This window comes from Homo sapiens, chromosome 15, assembly GCF_000001405.40.
Source record: "Homo sapiens chromosome 15, GRCh38.p14 Primary Assembly".
Taxonomy (NCBI): domain Eukaryota; kingdom Metazoa; phylum Chordata; class Mammalia; order Primates; family Hominidae; genus Homo; species Homo sapiens.
In genome coordinates this window covers 52,580,362-52,599,463 of record NC_000015.10, presented here as the reverse complement: position 1 = coordinate 52,599,463, position 19,102 = coordinate 52,580,362, and the positions used below count along the sequence as shown (strand labels likewise).

At 36.6% G+C, this 19,102-nt stretch overlaps 1 protein-coding gene across 32 annotated transcripts in view; it reads left to right on the top strand.

Annotated features, from left to right (window-relative positions):
- ATOSA (atos homolog A) overlaps positions 1-18,143 on the top strand; it is a 128,495-nt gene extending 110,352 nt beyond the window's left edge. For 18 of the 32 annotated variants that reach the window (NR_169536.1, NR_169545.1, NR_169547.1 and 15 more), the window contains 4 exons: positions 5,728-5,886; positions 12,245-12,313; positions 14,520-14,719; positions 17,157-18,143. Coding sequence is in view for 21 of the 32 variants with exons in the window: in NM_001385021.1 (NP_001371950.1) it covers positions 5,728-5,886; positions 12,245-12,313; positions 14,520-14,719; positions 17,157-17,310 (582 nt within the window). In the remaining 11 variants the exon portion in view is untranslated. Of the gene's footprint in view, positions 1-5,727; positions 5,887-12,244; positions 12,409-14,519; positions 14,720-17,156 lie in introns of all 32 variants that reach the window. The other 14 variants (NR_169544.1, XM_047432861.1, XM_047432863.1 and 11 more) reach the window with 2 other exon arrangements.
- Positions 18,144-19,102: the final 959 nt, after the last annotated feature.

The window sequence follows — 19,102 nt, the reverse complement described above, 5'->3', positions numbered from 1 at the left end:
GGAGTTGTGTTTTGATATATTAACCATTTGCTTTATAACTATTTTAATAGTGAAGCTATCTTTCACAGTCTTAGTGGAAATGAAAAGATATTTCATGGTAAGTCTTTTCCATGTCAATTCCAAGGTATCAGTTCAGAGATGTCAAGCTCTCTATTCCTCTTTGTCATCAAATTAAAATTGCATAGGCCATTGTTAGGGTCGGGTGGCTCAGCAACCTTTGTACTACAAGAAATTATTTTTCTTGCTCCTTTTGAGACATGTACTACAAAAAATGTATAAGTGAAAAAGAGAGCAGTCTGATATGTCAAAACTTTGGAAAAGGGAATGTATTAGACTGTTTTTGCATTGCTATAAAGAAAGGCCAGAGGCTGGATAATTTATAAAGAAAAGAGGTTTAATTGGCTCACAGTTCTGCAGGCTTTACATGAAGCATGGTGCTGGCATCTGCTTCTGATGAGGCCTCAGGGAGCTTTTACTTATAGTGGTAGGCAAAGTGGGAGCAGGCACATCATATGGTGAGAGCAGGAACAAGAGAGCAAGGAGGGAGGTGCCATATGCTTTTAAACAACCGGATCTCGTAAGAACCTACTGTTGCAAGGACAGAACCAAGCTATTTGTGAAAGATCCACCTCCATGACCGAAATACCTCCTACCAGGCCCCACCTTCAATTTTGGGGATTACATTTCAACATGAGATTTGAAGGGGACAATATGCAAACCATGTCAGGGAAGATAGTTAAAGATCAGTACACAGTTTTTTTCAGACGATTCTATTTGTGCAGATATACATACATTTTCCAAGTGACTTAAGAAATAGAGATGTTCTGAGACTATCCAACCCATAGGTCTTATTTATAATGAATTTGATGTTTTCTTCAGTAAATTACAGAAGATATTTCCTCTGCTTAGTGAATTTGACATTCTGTGCAATAAAAGATGGGGTTAGACTTGAGTCACTAAAATGACACATTAGACTTGTTTAATGAAAACAGGGCAAAGTCTTATCCCTGTAATGTTGTTGGGGGAAATCATGATCCTTAGACATTATTTGTGGGGCATTAGGTGGAGTCTGGAAACACATGGACACAGAATAACACCCAAATAGTCTAATAGCTAATAGTCACCTTTTCTTGCCACCATTTAGAGCAAGCTTGTCCAGCCTGCGGCCCAGGACAGCTTTGAATGCAGCCCAACACAAATTCGTAAACTTTCTTAAAATGTTGTTAGATTTTTTTTGTGATTTTTTTAAGCTCATCAGCTATTGTTAATGAGTGTGTATATGTAAGTATCTATATATATCTACATATATATTTTTGTTTGTTTGTTTGTTTGTTTGTTTTGAGACAGAGTCTCACTCTGTTCCCCAGGTCTGAGTGCAATGGTGCAACCTTGGCTCACTGCAACCTCCGCCTCCTGGGTTCAAGCAGTTCTCCTGCCTCAGCCTCCCAAGTAACTGGGATTACAGGAGCGCGCCACCATGCCCAGCTAATTTTTGTATTTTCAGTAGAGACGAGTTTCACCATGCTGGTCAGGCTGGTCTCAAACTCTTGAACTCAGGTGATCCACCTGCCTCGGCCTCCCAAAGTGCTGGGATTACAGGCATAAGCCACCACGCCTAGCCAATATTAGTATATTTTACATGTGGCCCAAGACAATTCACATTTTACATATGCCCCAAGACAATTCTTCTTCCAGTGTGGCCCAGGGAAGCCAAAAGATTGGACACCCCTGATTTAGAGTTTTCTACTGCAAAACCTTGTCATCATCCATTCAATTCATCTGTCCTGTGATTTTCTTCATTCAGTTCAGTCCAGCATAATACAACCATTGGAAATGAGTTATTTTTCCTATATGAGGGAATCTTAGTGCTTTCTGTCACTGTAAAATAGCTTGTATATTCTATAATTTTATATAAATGTAGTCACACAGTATTTACTCTTAGGGGGTGGCTTGGGGATTTATTTAAGTGAGTGTCATTGTTTTTAAGATAATCCATGTTGTCCTGCATATCAAGAGTTCATTCGTTTTTATTACTGTTGTATGGATAGACCACAGTTTGTTTATTCATTCACCTGATTTTAGACATTTGGGTTGTCACCACTTCGGGGTTATTAAAAATAAAGCTGCTATAAACATTTGTGTATGAATTTTTATGTGGACATAAATTTTCATTTCACTTGGGTAACTACATTAGAATAGAACAGAATAGAATAGAGAATAGAATAGAATAGAATAGAATAGAATAGAATAGAATAGAATAGAATAGAATAGAATAGAATAGAATAGAATAGAATAGAACAGAACAGAACAGAATAAAATAGAATAGTTTAACTGTTAAGAAACTGCCAAGCTATTTTCCAAAGTGATTATACCATTTTAATTTGCATCAGCATCGTATGAGAGTTCTAGTTCTTCCACATCCTTGCCATTGTTTGCACTGATCAGTCATTTTCATCTTAATTATTGTGGTTTTAATTTGTATTTCCCTGATGACTATTGATGTTGATCCTCTTTTCCTGCACTTACTTGCCAAATAAGCATATATGTTTTCCAAATATTTTTTCCAAGTCTGAAGTTTGGCTGTACATTTTTGTGATAGTGTCTTTACAAGAGTAAAAGATTTTAAGTTTTTTGATGTCGAATTTTCTTTATGAATCTTACTTTTGATGTTGAATCTAAAAAAACATTGCCTAGCCCAAGGCTTCTTTACACTAATACTGTTGATATTTGAGTTAGATAATTCTTCTGAAGGGCTGTTTGTGCATTGTGGGATGTTTAGCAGAATCTCTGGCCTCTACCCACTTGATTCCAATAGTACCCCCATGCCTAGTTCTAGCAACCAAAAATGTCTTCATATATTACCATATATCCCCTGGGTGAGAACCACTGGCCCAACCCAAGGTCACAAAGCTTTTTTTCTGTTTTCTTCTGAAAGTTTGTATTAGCTCATACGTTTAGATCTGTGATCTATTTTGAGTTAATTTTTACATGATAGGAGGTGTGCGATCAAGGTTCCCTTTTACGCATATGGATGTTCAATTTTCTAGTCTTGAAATCAGGTAATGTGAGTCCTAACTTTATTGTTCTTTCTCAGAATTGCTTAAACTATTCTAGCTCCTTTATCTTTTCATATAAATTTTAGAATCATCTTGTCTATTTCCACAAAATAGCCTGCTGAGATTTTGTTTGGCCTACATTAATACAGGTCGATTGGAGGAAAATTGACATCTTAAAAATATAAAGTCTTTCAATCCCTGAAATTCATTTATTTATATATTCTTTTATTTGTTTCATCAGTGTTTTATAGTTTTTAGCATGCATATCTTGGACATCTTTTTTATTTTTAATAGGGGTAGGGACTTTTCTCTGTCACCCAGGCTGGAGTGTAGCTGCGTGATCATACCTCACTGCAGCCTGGATCTCCTGGGTTGAAGCATTCATCCCACCTCAGCCTCCCAAGTAGCTAGGACTCTACGCTTGTACCACCACACCCAGCTAATTTTTTAAAAAATTTTTGTAGAAATAGGGCCCTGCTGTGTTTGCACAGGCTTTTCGTAAACTCCTGGCCTCAAGCAGTCTACTCACCTCAGTCTCCCAAACTGCTGGGATTACAAGTGTAAGCCACCACGCCTAGCCCAGATTTTTGATATCTTTTTGTAGATGTATACCTAAGTATTTCATGTTTTCTGGGATATTGTAACTTAAAAATTAATTGTCAATTGTTCATTGCTAGTATTTTTAAATGAATGTATGTGTGTGTGTGTTATCTACAAAAAATCGCCAGTGATCTTGCTCAACTCACTCACTAATTTCAGTAGATTTTAAAAAATAATCCTTGGGATTTTTCTACATAGACAGTCTTGTCATCTATAAATAGGGATAGTTTTGGCTTTTTTATTTTCGTGCCTTTTTTTTTTTTCTTGTCATACTGCACTGAGTGGGGCCTAGCATATATGCTTGTATATTAAATTTACAAAAATCTAAAATATCTCAGATAAAGTCAGCAACTAATATTGGTCATTTGCCTTAATCCATAAACATTTTTGTATGTACCTCTCCTATGAAAATTTTTTGCACCTTCAGAATAGACTTTTTATTTGGGAAATATTTGTTGAGTACTTACTATGTGCTAGGAATACAAAGTTTAAATGATAAAGTTCCTGCCTTAGAGACGTTTATTGTCTACTGGAGAAGGTGGGCATATAATTTACCCAGGTGAGTAAATAATTTATAAACTCAAGTAATTAGCATTGTAATAGAAGTTGCCTAGTACTTGTGTATCTACTATCTCTGCTAAAAGGATTGAGGAAAGCTTTACTGAGGAGCTGTCATTTGAGCTTGGTCACAAAAGATGAGAAGGAATTTGCCAGGTAAATTTGTTCAGGAATCAGAGATTCTAGACAAAGGGAACTTCATGTGCAAACGTAAAAGAGCATGGCAATGTTGGAAAGGATCAACTGGAGCTAGAGCATGGGACTCTGTATATGTTGGGAGAGATGAAATGAGAGGCATGGTGGAGCTTAAGTGCTGTGCTATGAATGTTGACCTCATCCTATAGACAGCAGGAAACAAAGTTTTTAAGTGGTAGGTGATACTATAAGGCTTTTTTCAAAAAAAGAAAAAGAACTCTGGCAGTAGTACAGAGGATACACTACAGATGGAAAGACTAATTAGAAGATGTAGCATTTATTCAGAGGAGAGGTTATGAGGATCACCTAGGTCACTAGGATAGTGGTAGTAGTGGGGATGGAAATGAGGCCCTGAGACTGAGAGGTAAAATCAACAGGATATGGATTGGATTGATTAGAGGGCAAAAAGGAGATATAGAAGGTTGATTGTGACCCAGGTCTTTTGGCTTTATCTTTTTGATCAGGAGATTAGAATTGCTGATATGTCACTGTTTCACATTTAGACTACACAAACTTTTAGAATCATGAGGCTTTGTAGCATTTCTTTTCAAAGAATTAATCAAAGGAATGCTACTCACATTTCATGATGTATACATATATGTGTTGATATATTTATATAAAATAAAGCTTGTGAAAAGTTTTAAATGTTTCTCATAAGTGGGAAAATAACCACTAAATTTTAAAAGTAGTTATCTCAGTGAGTGACCTTGGGGGAGGGATGGATAAGGAGCTTCTGTACTATTTCTGTACTTCTAAACTTTTTATAAATGCACATTTTTATGTTTTAAACTAAAACATATCACATACTACAGTATTTATAAGAGAAGCAATTATTTCTCGGTTAGAATTATAAGTGCTTGACTTCATCTTTTGATGGAACTTCCATATATAACCTGTTAGGTTTTCAGGTGTTTCTCTGTGTCTAGCACCATGAATAGGCACTGTGAGGGATAAATACCTGCTCTGATAGAGCATATTTTTAAATTTACAGATATAAAAACAACATAGTAAACAATTAGGCCTAACTAATGCTGAAGTTGCAGGAGAGTTCAGTGTGAGTTGGAATAGTGAGAGAAGACCAAACTGTTGTAGGATGGTAGAAGACTGATGGGAGATGCAGTTGACTTCAAGTCAGATGAAAAGCAGAAATAAGGACATGGCAATGGTAACAACCACTGTTCTAGTGCTAGAAAGCATAGTAATATATTTCTTTTAATCACTTCTCTGCCTTTAGACTAAGTGTATATTTCTTTAAATAGAAAAAAAATGAATGTGTTAGCTTTTTTAATTGAGTTTTTAAAATTATTTTGTCTTCCAGGAATCTGTCTTGAACTATCGTTTCGATCCTCTCGGCATTGTTGATGGTTTTACTGCCGAGGTAGGGGCAAGTGGTGCTTTCTGCCCCACACATTTGACTCTTCCAGTTGAAGTGTCATTCTACAGTGTTTCAGATGACAATGCTCCCTCTCCTTATATGGCAAGTATTTTTTATATTGTATGTTTTCCTGCCAAATCAACCAACTTAATGACAAATTTAAGTGCTTTGATGCAGTACTTGAAAATATAAATCATTTCCTAACAGCTGAATACAAACTAATATGCCAAAATATTACCTCACAACTTCTTTCTAAGCTAGTTCAAACAACAGATAACCTCTTTTGCATTTAAGGATGGTACTAAAAATGTACTTATTTCTCTTTGTCTTGAAAAAATGATAAAAATTGATTAGTGACACTGTAATTCCATCTTGCTGAGTTCACACACATTCTCAAATGCTTAGTGTGCACTGTGTCCTCTAGTCCTACAAGGCTTTGGTGACATAAGGCTTCTGTATGGCCCTTTTACTCCCTTTTCGGTTTGGTTTGTCTTTGGGCCTATTTTTTTCTAATCCTAGGGTTCTTTTTTTTTTTTGACAGCATCTCACTCTCTTGCCTAGGCTGGAATGCAGTGGTGCAGTCATAGCCCACTGTAGCCTCAAACTTCTGGCCTCAAACCATCCTCTTGCCTTGGAGCTCCTAAATAGCTGGGTCTACAGATATGCGCCACCATGCCTAGCTAATTTTTATGTTTTGTAGAGGCAGGGCCTCCCTATATTGCCCAGGCTGGTCTTGAACTCCTGGCCTCAAGCAGACCTCCCACTTTGGCCTTCCAAGTGTTGGGATTACAGGCATGAGCCACCACAACTGGCCTAATCCTAGAGTTCTTTAGGATACTAGCTACTTCAGACTCACGCTAATGTCTTAATGGAGAGTGAAATAACTAAGAGGAGTTACAGCAAGCTTGTCCGGCCTACAGCCCACATGCAACCCAGGAAGGCTTTGAATGTAACCCAACACAAATTTGTAAACATTCTTAAAACATTATGAGATTTTTTTGTGTGATTTTTGTTTTTTAGCTCATCAGCTATTGTTAGTGTTAGTATATTTTATGTGTGGCCCAAGACAATTCTTCTACCAGTGTGGCCCAGGGAAGCCAAAAGATTGGACACCTCTGAGTTATAGTGTTGAGCCTTAAGATCAATCTTATGATTTCACCTTTCCAATTTTTTTATTCCAATGGCTTGTGGATAATATAAGCATTCATTTGCAAAAACAATACTGAGTACTAGTATATGATTAGTATCAGCCCTCTTCCAAAAGACAAAGAGAGACAAGTAGCTAGCCATGCAGGTCTGTAAAAAGTTGACAGTGATGGTATCAAATATGGAGTCAAATCTGGGTTTTCATTTTAGGTGTTACTTTTGAGAAATGCAGATTACTGTAGGCATTGAACATTATAGCCTAGTCTTGCTGCTTGAATTTCCTAACTTACTATCTGGCCCAACTGCTTCCTCTCCTAACACCCCTCTCCACAACCTTCTAGGTTTTCAAGGACATTAGTAACAATGACTTTTGTCATTAATAAAAGCTGTAAAAAGGGACATCTATACAATTGAGAAACAACAGAGAGGAAAGGAAGCTACTTTTAGGAACCTATATGTGGCCTACTCATTACTGGCCCAGTTTCTTCAAGGAAAGCTTACTCCATTCTAAGGGTGAAGATTTTAGTCAAGAGCTTGATTAGTGTTTGACACTTTGATAGAAAAAGCAGAGTGGTGACTGCTTATTTATTCAAAGTTTTCTTTTCCCAACAACGTTCACATCTGTGGGTCATAAGCATGAAGATGCCCAGCATAGGTTATTATCGAAAGAAGAGGCCCCCTTCACAAACCTGCCCAGTTATTACATATGCTACCTGTTCATTTACCATAGAAAGATGTACCCACTTTTCCAGAATTATTTTGAAAAAATAACTGCTAATTTTGGACACTTAATAAAATGGAAAGTACCACTGAGATAAGTTTAATACCAGAATAAATGCATATTATACTCGAATGCTTACAATATGAGAATATAGCAACAGCCTGTTTTGCCTTACCAGGACATCAAGAATCTGATCAGTTTCACACCTTTTACTGGCATATAGTAATAGAGGATGGAAAGATAAGGTCTCAAATACTGTGATCTGGCCAGGCACAGTGGCTCATATCTGAATCCCAGCACTTTGGGAGGCTGGGGCGGACAGATCACCTGAAGCTGGCAGATCGCCTGAGGCCAAGAGTTCAAGACCAGCCTAGCCAACATGATGAAACCCTGTCTCTACTAATAATACAAAAAATTAGCCGAGCATGGTGGCACACGCCTGTAATCCCAGCTACTCAAGAGGCTAAGGCAGGAGAATCGCTTGAACCCGGGAGGCAGAGGTTGCAGTGAGCCGAGATCGCGTCATTGCACTGCAGCCTGGGCGACAAGAGCAAAACTCCATCTCAAAATAAATAAAATAAAATACTGTGATCTATCATTAGTGAACAGAGTCCCTGTTGGCCATTAGGATGGCTTGGAAACAAGATAAAAGAGTAAACTGGCTGAAAATCAGCTCAAATAAATATCTTTGATGGAAATTAATGAGCAAGAGGTAACTTGAACTATGCTTTTAAAAAGCAAGACAGCATTAATCTTTCACCTTAGTTGATATCTCAAAAATGAAGGATTGGGAGATAAAAGATTTTGTCACTCCAGAAAGTACTAGAGATGTACACGCAGATGATTGCAGATTGTTAAATAGGTATTGGCAAGGGTATAAATCAGGTTACTGAATTTAATCTATGCTTTTGAGAAACTCTGACTTTCTTTTCTCTGATAACATTCTTGAGTCAACTATCCCATTTATATTTTTCCTATGAAAAAATTAGAACATTTTCAAAAAATAGTCTGTATTTTTCTATTAAAAGTTTACTTACCAGGAATGCATTCTTTTTGCAAGTGACCCAGTTCCAGTCTTTCCTGCTATGAATTAATTTTGTTCCTCAGGGAATATTCTCTTTATTTTTGTAGTTGAATCTGTTTTCAAAGAATGTGATTATGTTTTGGTAAGACTATACATATCACAGACCAGCAGAGCGAAGACATAAAACACTTGTTACTCTTATAATAACCTTGTTACTCTAATAATAATTTTGGGACCTCTTATCACAGATTATACAAATGACTCACAAGGGTAAAATTTTAGCACAGAAAATCCTATCTTTGTGGTATAGAGGTGGTATAGGACTTCTCATTAAATAATTCCCTTAAAGATTAACTCAAAGCCATATAATATTATTCTCCGGTTGGGAGTCAGTGGTAAAAATGTTCTCCAAGTGTTATATGACAACACTTAGCTGTTTAGAAACGGTTGCAGTGTGAAACCAGGCAGAAATATCTAAGGCAGGTGTGCCAGTGGCAAATTTCTAATAAGACTTTCATTATAATATTAGGGCCACGTATGATTTCCTTTCTTTGTAATTAACCAGATCAAGATATAGTTCTTTCAGTTTTCCACTTACTTGTGCATATTCCCTATTCCATAATAATCTGAGCAATTTTTGTATAAGATTTTGAGCATATTTATTTTAACCCTACTATTCCATTTTAAAATCCCAGAAGAAGGGCCGGGCATGGTGGCTCACACCTGTAATCCCAGCACTTTGGGAGGCTGGGGCAGGCGGATAACTTGAGGTCAGGAGTTCAAGACCAGCCTGGCCAACATGGTAAAACCCCGTCTCTACTAAAAGCACAAAAATTAGCTGGGCGTGATGGTGGGCGCCTATAATCCCAGCTACTCGGGAGGCTGAGGCATGAGAATGGCTTGAACCCAGGAGGCAGAGGTTGCACTGAGCCAAGATCGTGTCACTGCACTCCAGTCTGGATGACAGAACAAGGCTCCATCTCAAAAAAAAAAAATGCCAGAAGAAAATGTGTTTTTCTCTTTTGTGTTAAATATGGTAACTTTTTCTAGGTATAAATATTAATATGCTGATCAATTAAAATGATGAAATTATTACAATAATGATGAATAATAAAATTCCAAATAATTTCCCAGTCCCTTTCTAAAATTCCTAACTTGCCAATGCTACTAGTCTTAACATTGCTTACAAATTGTTTTAAATTGTTGCCTTCAACTTTATGGTTTTTTTCAAAAAGCTGTTTTTTTAAATAAATTGATTTAGTTACTGTGTTCTAAAAACTATTGGAATTGAATGTATTAAAGGAAACAAGTATAAACTTGGTAGTAGTTGCCTTACCAGTTTTACTGTATGTATTTGGTGGGGAGGCAGATGGCTGGCAAGGAAGAACGGTAATATATTACGTGTAGTTATGTGATTTTAAAGATAGCTATTATTTAGGTATATTTTACTTTTTCTTTCTGAAACTAGGAAGAAAACATGTATAATATACCATATCTTTTTCATGTAGAGTAAATAGCCACACTCTGCTCATTTAAAAAAAAGTGGTATACAGAGTACCTCATTAGGCACGTAGGGCAGATTGTAAGAGATAAATTGTTAAAGTTTCATTGCTGTTTTGGTTAGGGTTGCAGTTTGTTGATGTGCTTTTTTCATGCTTTAAATAACCATATGACAAATCTGATTTGTCAAGAACCACGTATGTGTTAACCTTAATGTGTTAATTTAATAATCTGATGTCAAGTGTTGTTCACTTGGAGTAAATTCATATGTCAGAATGTGGCTTTCCCTTTTACCTTTATCCACTCCTTTTTACTTCCTAACCCTGGTCCAACTTCCGAACCCAACAGAGAGACGTCACCTGATAGAACAGTGCTGTTTTATATTTGCTTTTACATAAGTTTGGCATGTACAATGTATAATAATGAAATCATGAAATGTAGAACATACAGTTCTCCTTAACTACTTGAAAGAAAAGTATTAGCCCAGTTAACGTAAATGCATCAGCATTCATTTTTTAAAGCTCTTTAAGTATCACAGCCTGGGCACGATGGCTCACGCCTGTCATCCCAGCACTTTGGGTGGCAGAGGCGGGTGGATCACCTGAGGTCAGGAGGTCGAAGCCTGGACAACATGGTAGAACCACCGCCCCTGCCCCCAACCATCTCTACTAAAAATACAAAAATTAGCTGGGCGTGGTGGTGAGTTCCTGTAGTCCCAGCTACTTGGGAGGCTGAGACAGAAGAATCGCTTGAACCCGGGAGGCAAGGGTTGCAGTGAGCCAAGATTGTGCCACTGCACTCCAGCCCTGGTGACAGAGTGAGAAAGCATCTCAAAATAATAATAATAATAATAATTAAGTATCACAATTACCACTGATAGTCATTTGGTTATCCTGGTTATTGATCATCCTGGTTATTGAGAAACTTTTACACATTCAATTTGAACTTACCTTGTTTTAACATACACTTTTTCCCCATTGATTGCATTTTTGCAGTAAGGAGAACATCCTGAGAAAAACTACTTCATATAGTAGAGCAGGGCTCCCAAACCTTAATGTAAATTGATATAATCTGGAGAATCTTGTTAAAATGTATATTTGACTTTGTAAGGTCTGGGAAGAGGCCAGACATTTCACATTCCTAACGAGTTCACAAGTGATGCTGATGATGCTCATCTGAGGATCATTCTTTGAGTACCAAACTAACTGGAGGACTCCTGATATCCTCTTTTAGACTTCTCTAGTGACATGACCCTAATTTAGCTTTAACCTTGACTCAAATCAGCTCTCAATCCATTGTGTTCTGATTTAGAATCAATTTGGATTCTTAGATTCCTTAATAAGTAAATGACCAAACAAAATCAAAATACCTTAATAATATCCAGATTAAGACACAACATGATATAAAGTTGTTTCTGAAGAAATATTTAATTTTAGGAAAGTGAGATTTTATAGCTTTACTATAGAACATTCCACAGCCTTAAAGTTACTGATTTAACTTTCATTTTTCACTTTTTGTCTTAAACATCTCTTATCCCATAAAGTAGTACCAGGCAGGAACTACAGACTTCCAAATTGCTTTTCTATTTTTTTTCCTGTCTTTATTCAGAAATCCAGATATGTAACTTAACTCCCAGACTGAAGAATTGACTTTATTTTTGGCCAAGGCTTACTTTCCTACACTTGTGACTTTTTACATGCCCGAAGACCAATAAATTACTTGCTTCTTCATTTCCCCTCTCCCTCAAGATACATGGGAAGGGTCCTATTACCTTCCTTTATTTCCTTTTTAGTTAGGAACTTCTTTCTTTTATTCCTATATCTTAATAGTAATTTTGAGTGCTGTGGCCATTGATGTTATATATTCTTTATAGCGACATCACCAGGAGGAACAGTAAAATGTTTCCTTAGGGGTAGAAACATAGAATGTATCTCTATTAATTCAATATGAATGTTTTTCCATAGAAATAGAATTCTGAAATTTTAATAAATTACATGAGTTATTCTTATTTTAGTCTTTTATGTACATATGCATCAGTTTGTACTCAATTTGTCTTCTTTTATTTCAAGGGTGTGATTACTTTAGAGTCCCTTGGTAAAAGGGGTTATCGAGTACCTCCTTCAGGAACAATACAAGTGGTATGTGTTTTATAGCCTACAATTGCAATAATCATTCTCTCACATACATATAGAACTTAGCCCTTTCTCCTGCTACTGCTGCTGCAACAACTTTGGTAAGTAACAGTGGGGCTGCAGCTTTGTTTGGAGTTCCCCTGCTCTGCCCCAGGAATGACCATTTGGGGACCTCCATAAAAGGAAAGCATTAATAAGCTAATCAAGGTGAATACTTAAGAAAAATAGCATATGACAGTTTGCATAACTTCAATAGGACTCTTCAATACATATTTAGAACCTAATATTACTGGTGCCTTCTTTTTAATAAACCAAATTGAGACGAACCTGTTTAAAAGGAGACCCCAAATATTAGAATTGCTTTCACAGGAAAACTTGGGAAACAAAATTATTTTATTTCTAATAATTTCTAAAATTGATTTAATGAGATGACCACACAAAGCAGAAATATAGTCTGACAGATGTCAGGGCAGAGAAGGCATCATTCCTTTTGGTCTAGGCATTGATCTCTTTTGGCTCAGGAGAGTCCTGCTGTCTCAGAACAGTCCTTCATCATCCCTGGTCTAGGGTTCTCAGAAGAATAATCTGATATTAAGGCCAGCTTGAAATTGAGTTAACTCTAGATCTGACCCAGCGTAATCCTGCAAGCCCTCAAATCTATTACAGAGTTTGCAGACTGAAAGAGAGTCTAGCTAAGGCTTGCTCCTCATACCCAGGATTTGATCTAATCCAACAAGCCTTTGTATGACCTTTGACCTCAGTGTGTTCAGTACTTTGTCAGATCACTTTTACTCATCATCATTGTTCCAATACTGCAAGGAATCTGTATATTTGTTTATTTCATATCACACAGGAATGAAACAGAAGTATGTAACATGTGTACGTGTGTGTATATATATATATACACACATATATAGTAATATTTATATAAGTTTGAGGAGGAATTACCACAAGAATACCACAAGTAAACCGATTTCTTGAAGTAAAGGAGTGACAGTGTTCTCTTGCCTTCGGCTATGCAGCTCATGAGAAAGTGTGGGTCAGTGGAAAGCTAGCTGTCAGTTGTGATAATAATGAATCATAAACTCGGAGGTAACACATTCACCTCTTGTTTGGAGACTGCCAGCTTTAGTGGTTAATTATATGTCTTCTATTCTGTATACAGTTTAACTGTGTATAAACATGATTTGAACTCCTGGCTTATGAGGTGTGGTTGTTGAATGTATTAGCCTTAATCTTAAGACTCACTAGATTTCAAAAACTGGATTATGATATTGATATATTTCTCATTTTGATTCAGTGAGTGATGTCCAGTGCCACGGATGAGCTTCTGAAAGCATGGGTACCAAGTTACCTATTGATGTGTTGGTAATTTGGTTAAAGTCAGATCAGCAGCTTGGGGTTTTGTTTCAAAACGAGTACTTTAAAAATAATATTCCTTCAATTATTCATAACCAAGCAACAATTGAATTTAATTCAGTCTTTACCAGGATACATATTTTGGTCTATAATAATATTGAGAATTTTTTAAGGGCTAGTGTTGCTACAAATTTTGAAATGATTCCATGTATGAGTAAATGAAGTATTAGCCTACTTTAGATCTAATTAATTAATAATAGTGAGCTTTGTTTTCTAAACTTGGGGAAATGTTCAGATAGGAAAAAGTCTCTTCTTTGAGCACCTATTTTAAATTTTATAATAATCATATGTACCTAAGACATCAAACATGCTAATTTTACAGAGCTTGTATTTTTATTTGAAATATTCTGTTTGCTATTAAAATGTGAGAAAAATTAAAACTCAATTTTGAGAAGTTTGAACTTGATACTCTTTAGCAAAGCTATTATGTTTGAAATAATTGAACTGGAATATTTTAACCCAATAAGGATGTATTTTGCTTAAGCTACTGGAACTATTCCTTAAAGTTGCTCCTCTGAACAAGGAGTAAAATTTATATATATGAAATTTGTGACTAAAGATTTTGATTTGTTATTGGACCTTATATTATTGTAAAACAAAAAATTGAACCTTTTAAAAAATAATATTATTTCTTAAACTTTTGAAATTGTGTTAATTTTAGTCCTTGAAACTGAATTATATTCAGTGGTATTACCTTGTTGTTTAAAATCTTGTTTGATTATTGGCACAATCATTCTGAATCACATCAACAAATCACTATTTTTAAAGAATAATTTCTATATTGTTTCTTCAGACCTTATTTAATCCTAATAAGACTGTGGTGAAGATGTTTGTTGTGATATATGATTTACGAGATATGCCAGCCAATCATCAGACATTCCTACGACAAAGAACTTTTTCTGTACCTGTTAAACAAGAAGTGAAGAGAAGTGTTAATAAAGAGAACATCCGACACACAGAAGAACGGTTATTACGCTACCTCATACATCTGAGGTAATGCTTCAAATTAATATGAAAATGTTACTTTAGAACAACTCTAAAATTTTTAGTTTTTTTTTTTAAACTGTGACTCTAACTAGACCAGTGTCCCTTGGGACTTTGCTTAGCTTGGGAACTCTTGATGATGTGCCAAGATGCCGAAAGTACATGGCATACCTTCCTGTGGTGGTCATTACTTGTTGAATTAGGGAAGTTTTCATTTATAGCTGTTTAATATAAAATATTTTATGCCAAAACACATGCATCTGGGGCAGTGAAACACATTTTCTAAACGAATACTATTTAAAAATGTAATACGAGGGCCGGGCACAGTGGCTCACACCTTGTAATTCCAGCACTTTGGGAGGCCAAGGTGGGCCAATCACCTTCAGGAGTTTGAGACCAACCTGGCCAACATAGTGAAACCCTGTCTCTACTAAAAATACAAAAATTACCTGGGCATGGTGGTGGGAGCCTGTAATCCCAGCTACTCAAGCTGAGGCAGGAGAATTGCTTGAACCCGGGAGGTGGAGGTTGCAGTGAGCTGAGATCACACCATTGGACTCCAGCCTGGGTGACAAGAATGAGACTCCATCTCAAAAAAAAAAAAAAAAGTAATATGAGCCATATAAATCATTTTATATTTTTCTTTTTTTTTTTTTTTTTTTTCTTCTTGAGACGGAGTCTCACTCTGTTCATCAGGAGGAGTCACCTTTCATCTCGGGTCCAGGCAGAAGACTTCTTCAATCTGTTATTGCTGATGGGGACCACCTGCTATCTTTCTTTATATATGCCTTGCAGTGGTGTTCTGGAGTGAATAAGCAGTGAGCTGTACACTCAAGTCCCATACATGAAAGTCCGTTAATTATTCTCCCCAAAGCTCTATTTAATTAGTTCTTTCATCTCAGTCTTCTGCCTGTTCTGTATGCAAAAGACGTGTTCAGCCAGCACAATGTATTTCAACCAAATCTGACACTACCTGATGTAAGCCACATGGGAAATGTTACACAGATTGTGGGAATGAAAAATCTATGAAAAACAGACTTGGAAAACTTTTTTTAAAAGACATGGTATAGCCGGGCACGGTGGCTCACACCTATAATCCCAGCACTCTGGGAGGCCGAGGTGGGTGGATCACCTGAGGTCAGGAGCTCAAGACCAGCCTGGCCAACATGGTGAAACCCCATCTCTACTAAAAATACAAAAATTAGCCAGGCGTGGTGGTGGACACCTGTAATCCCAGCTCCTCAGGAAGCTGAGGCAGGAGAATCACTTGAACCTGGGAGCTGAGATTGTACCACTGCACTCCAGCCTGGGCAAAGGAGCAAGACTCTCACATGAATGAATGAATGAATGAATGAATGAATGACATGGTATGAAATAGCAGACTATAAGAATACCTACCAAACTAGAAAAAGATTCAACCCTCTCTGGTTAAACTTGCATTTGACAGCATTCCTCTTGAAGTTTAACAACCATAGCTATTTGTAACCAAAACCAATACTGGCCAGAGTAAAAATCAGCCACCTTAGCTTTTATAATCTCCACATAATGACAGGATACTTTAAAGAAACCTTTTTGGGGAAAACTGTACACTTCCCAAAGAATGTTCTCCTTCAGTTTGGGAAGGTGAAAAACTTCAGAAAGGAGGGAAGAGTGAGCCAGTCAGAGCCAGTCTGTTTTAACATACAGAGCTGTAACCACCACATCTTTCAGCTAGTTCAGGAGTAAAATCCACAAACCCAGAGAGTATTTATGCTATGCCAAGGGAAAAACAAAGAGAAATTAGCACTACAGGGTATGTTTGTCTGTTTGGTAGGTAAGTTAATGTGAGTGAAGATTCCAAATCCCTGCACTGTATTACAGATATTAGCAGTGGATAGAAACAGTTTCATATACAGTTTTGATAGCCATTTTCATTTTACTGCTAACTTTTCTCTTGACTTTTGATGGTGGCTGGGTTTTACTTAGCCTAGCCACTGCTGATTATAGCAGTTTTTTATCATCTACCCCAAATCATGGGAGGCTAAGCTGTGTGAAATGGGTCAGTCTATGGAGCTAGAAGATGCCAGGGCTACAGAGCCCAAATGTAATGTTATTGAGTAATGTGAGTGAACTGCCACGTGAACCTGCAGATGAGGAAAGGTGCATGTACTGTGGAGTCAGGGAGGAAAAGTAAGATTTATTTGACACTCAGATTTACAGGAAGAAGCATCTCAGGCACTGAGGGAAGGAAAAGGAGTATGAGTTATTTAGGGAATGGTAAGAGAGCAGCATTTAAATAAAAGCATATGCTTTGGTCTTTAGAAAGATCTTAAATATCATGTTAAAGAGTTAGTGTTGACCTAATATTGTAGCAAGATTTGTTCTTCCTACTTTCAAATTTTAATTATTCTAGTTTCTTTTAAAGACTCGTTCTCTGAAATGTTTTATATTTTGTTTATTTGTTTAGGTTCCAGAGTTCTAAATCTGGAAAGATCTACCTCCATAGAGACGTACGGCTCCTGTTCTCTAGAAAGTCAATGGAGGTTGATAGCGGTGCTGCATATGAACTCAAATCTTACACTGAATCACCAACAAACCCTCAGTTTTCACCAAGATGTTGATAAGGAGTGATGATTTAAAGTATTTACTCAGTACCCAAGTTTGCAAGTAAAAATTAGCATAGAATGGAGTGTACCAAATTAACAATCAGGAGAGTGGATTCTCTCCTGTTATCCTGGACCAGTTTTTATGAAAGGATTCCTGAAATGAAATCCATATATTCCATGTAGACTGGAAAAACTCATGTCCTAATCCTTTTTGTACTGTTGAAACCACTTCATTGGACATGTTGCAATAGCAAAACCCCCAGTTAGATTAGTGTTTACACATTTTCTCAGTTATTTAATATTTAATGTTTTCCTTAATACTCAAGTGATGTTTGTCTCTAGTGTTCTAATGTAGCACAAATCCTATGTAAAATCATACTATGTATTTTTGACATTAATGTTGAAATCAAATATATGCACAAGTCTTTAATTTTGTGTAATGTGTTAAGTGCTGTTCATTTAAGTTATTGAAAATGAGAATAAAATGTTGAGCTTCTTTAAAAGTAACACACTATGCAAGCATGTGTACTTTTTATATCTCTCATGTTTAGTTTTTATAACACCATATCCAGGTTGCTATCTCACATAGTAGTCCTTTAACATATTGTATTAGCAGTGCAATGTGGACTAAGCTGCTTCACTTTCCCTTTGCAAGTTCAGATCATCATGCCCATTCATAGCCAGGATTCCTTATCCCCAAAACAGTTCTATTTTTCCTTAATCACTACTATAGAGTCTTTACATTAAATTACTGTCGTATGCTAGATAATTTTCTCAAATTGTTAAAAGAATATGTACTTTGGAAACAAATTAGTATTTATATTGTAAATATATTCAAAAAAAACTAAGAAACGTGTACTTGGCTTTTATTTGTAGATGAGACATTTATGTGATTGAGTGAATTAGCCATTAGACATTTTCATTCTAGCTCTACAGCTGCAAAGAGGGAGGGGGAAGATGTCTTGAGTCTTGTTCCCAATTTATCACTAAGTGCATCAGAAATCTGTCTTCCAACACCCTTGGAAAGAACAGGGTGGTTTTTAGATGTTTGTGCTCAGACAGCGGGCAACAGCAGATTAAATAACAAGGCAAAAATACTAGGAATGCTGGTAGAAATCTATGACCGCAGGTTAAAAAAAAAGACCACTCAAGTAGGCCAGACCCAGGAGACCTGGGAATCTAGAACCTGGTAAGCAGTCTGGAATTGGGAAAGGAGAAAATCTACTTTTGGACCCAGGCATTAGACCGCTTAAGAGAATCTATCAGTCCAGGTGATGAGTGTGTGGCTGCAGGCCAGCAGGCTGTGGAATGGCAAGCAGATACCTTTTATATATTTCTTTTAAAATATCAGTTAAAAAAAGGCTATTTATATTCCATAAAACTAAAAAAAAAAATTTCAGTGGTACAAATTTATGAAGATTGTTTTCAATCTTTAGACTGTGTGGAAAACAGATGGGACAAGGACCCAAAGGTTTGGATTGTAGTCCCAGCTCTAATGGTATCTGATGGAACTGACTCTAGGAGTCCCCTAATGTTTCCAGGTCTGTGTGATTGAGAAAATGTGGTGAGAGTATATGATTAATGTGCCTTCTCTTCTTAAATTCTGTTATCTAATCCTTGAAATAAGCATTTCGATACATAAATCTAGATATGCATTTGGCAAAAGTCAATATTGATAATTTTATATAAAACTTGAAAAACATCAAAAACATTTTTAAATTTCTTTTTTGACCTCTCCAGTAAAGTTTACCCAAAAAATAGTCACATACTTGTGTGCAGGTGTCTTTTTGCATGGATACCACACCGG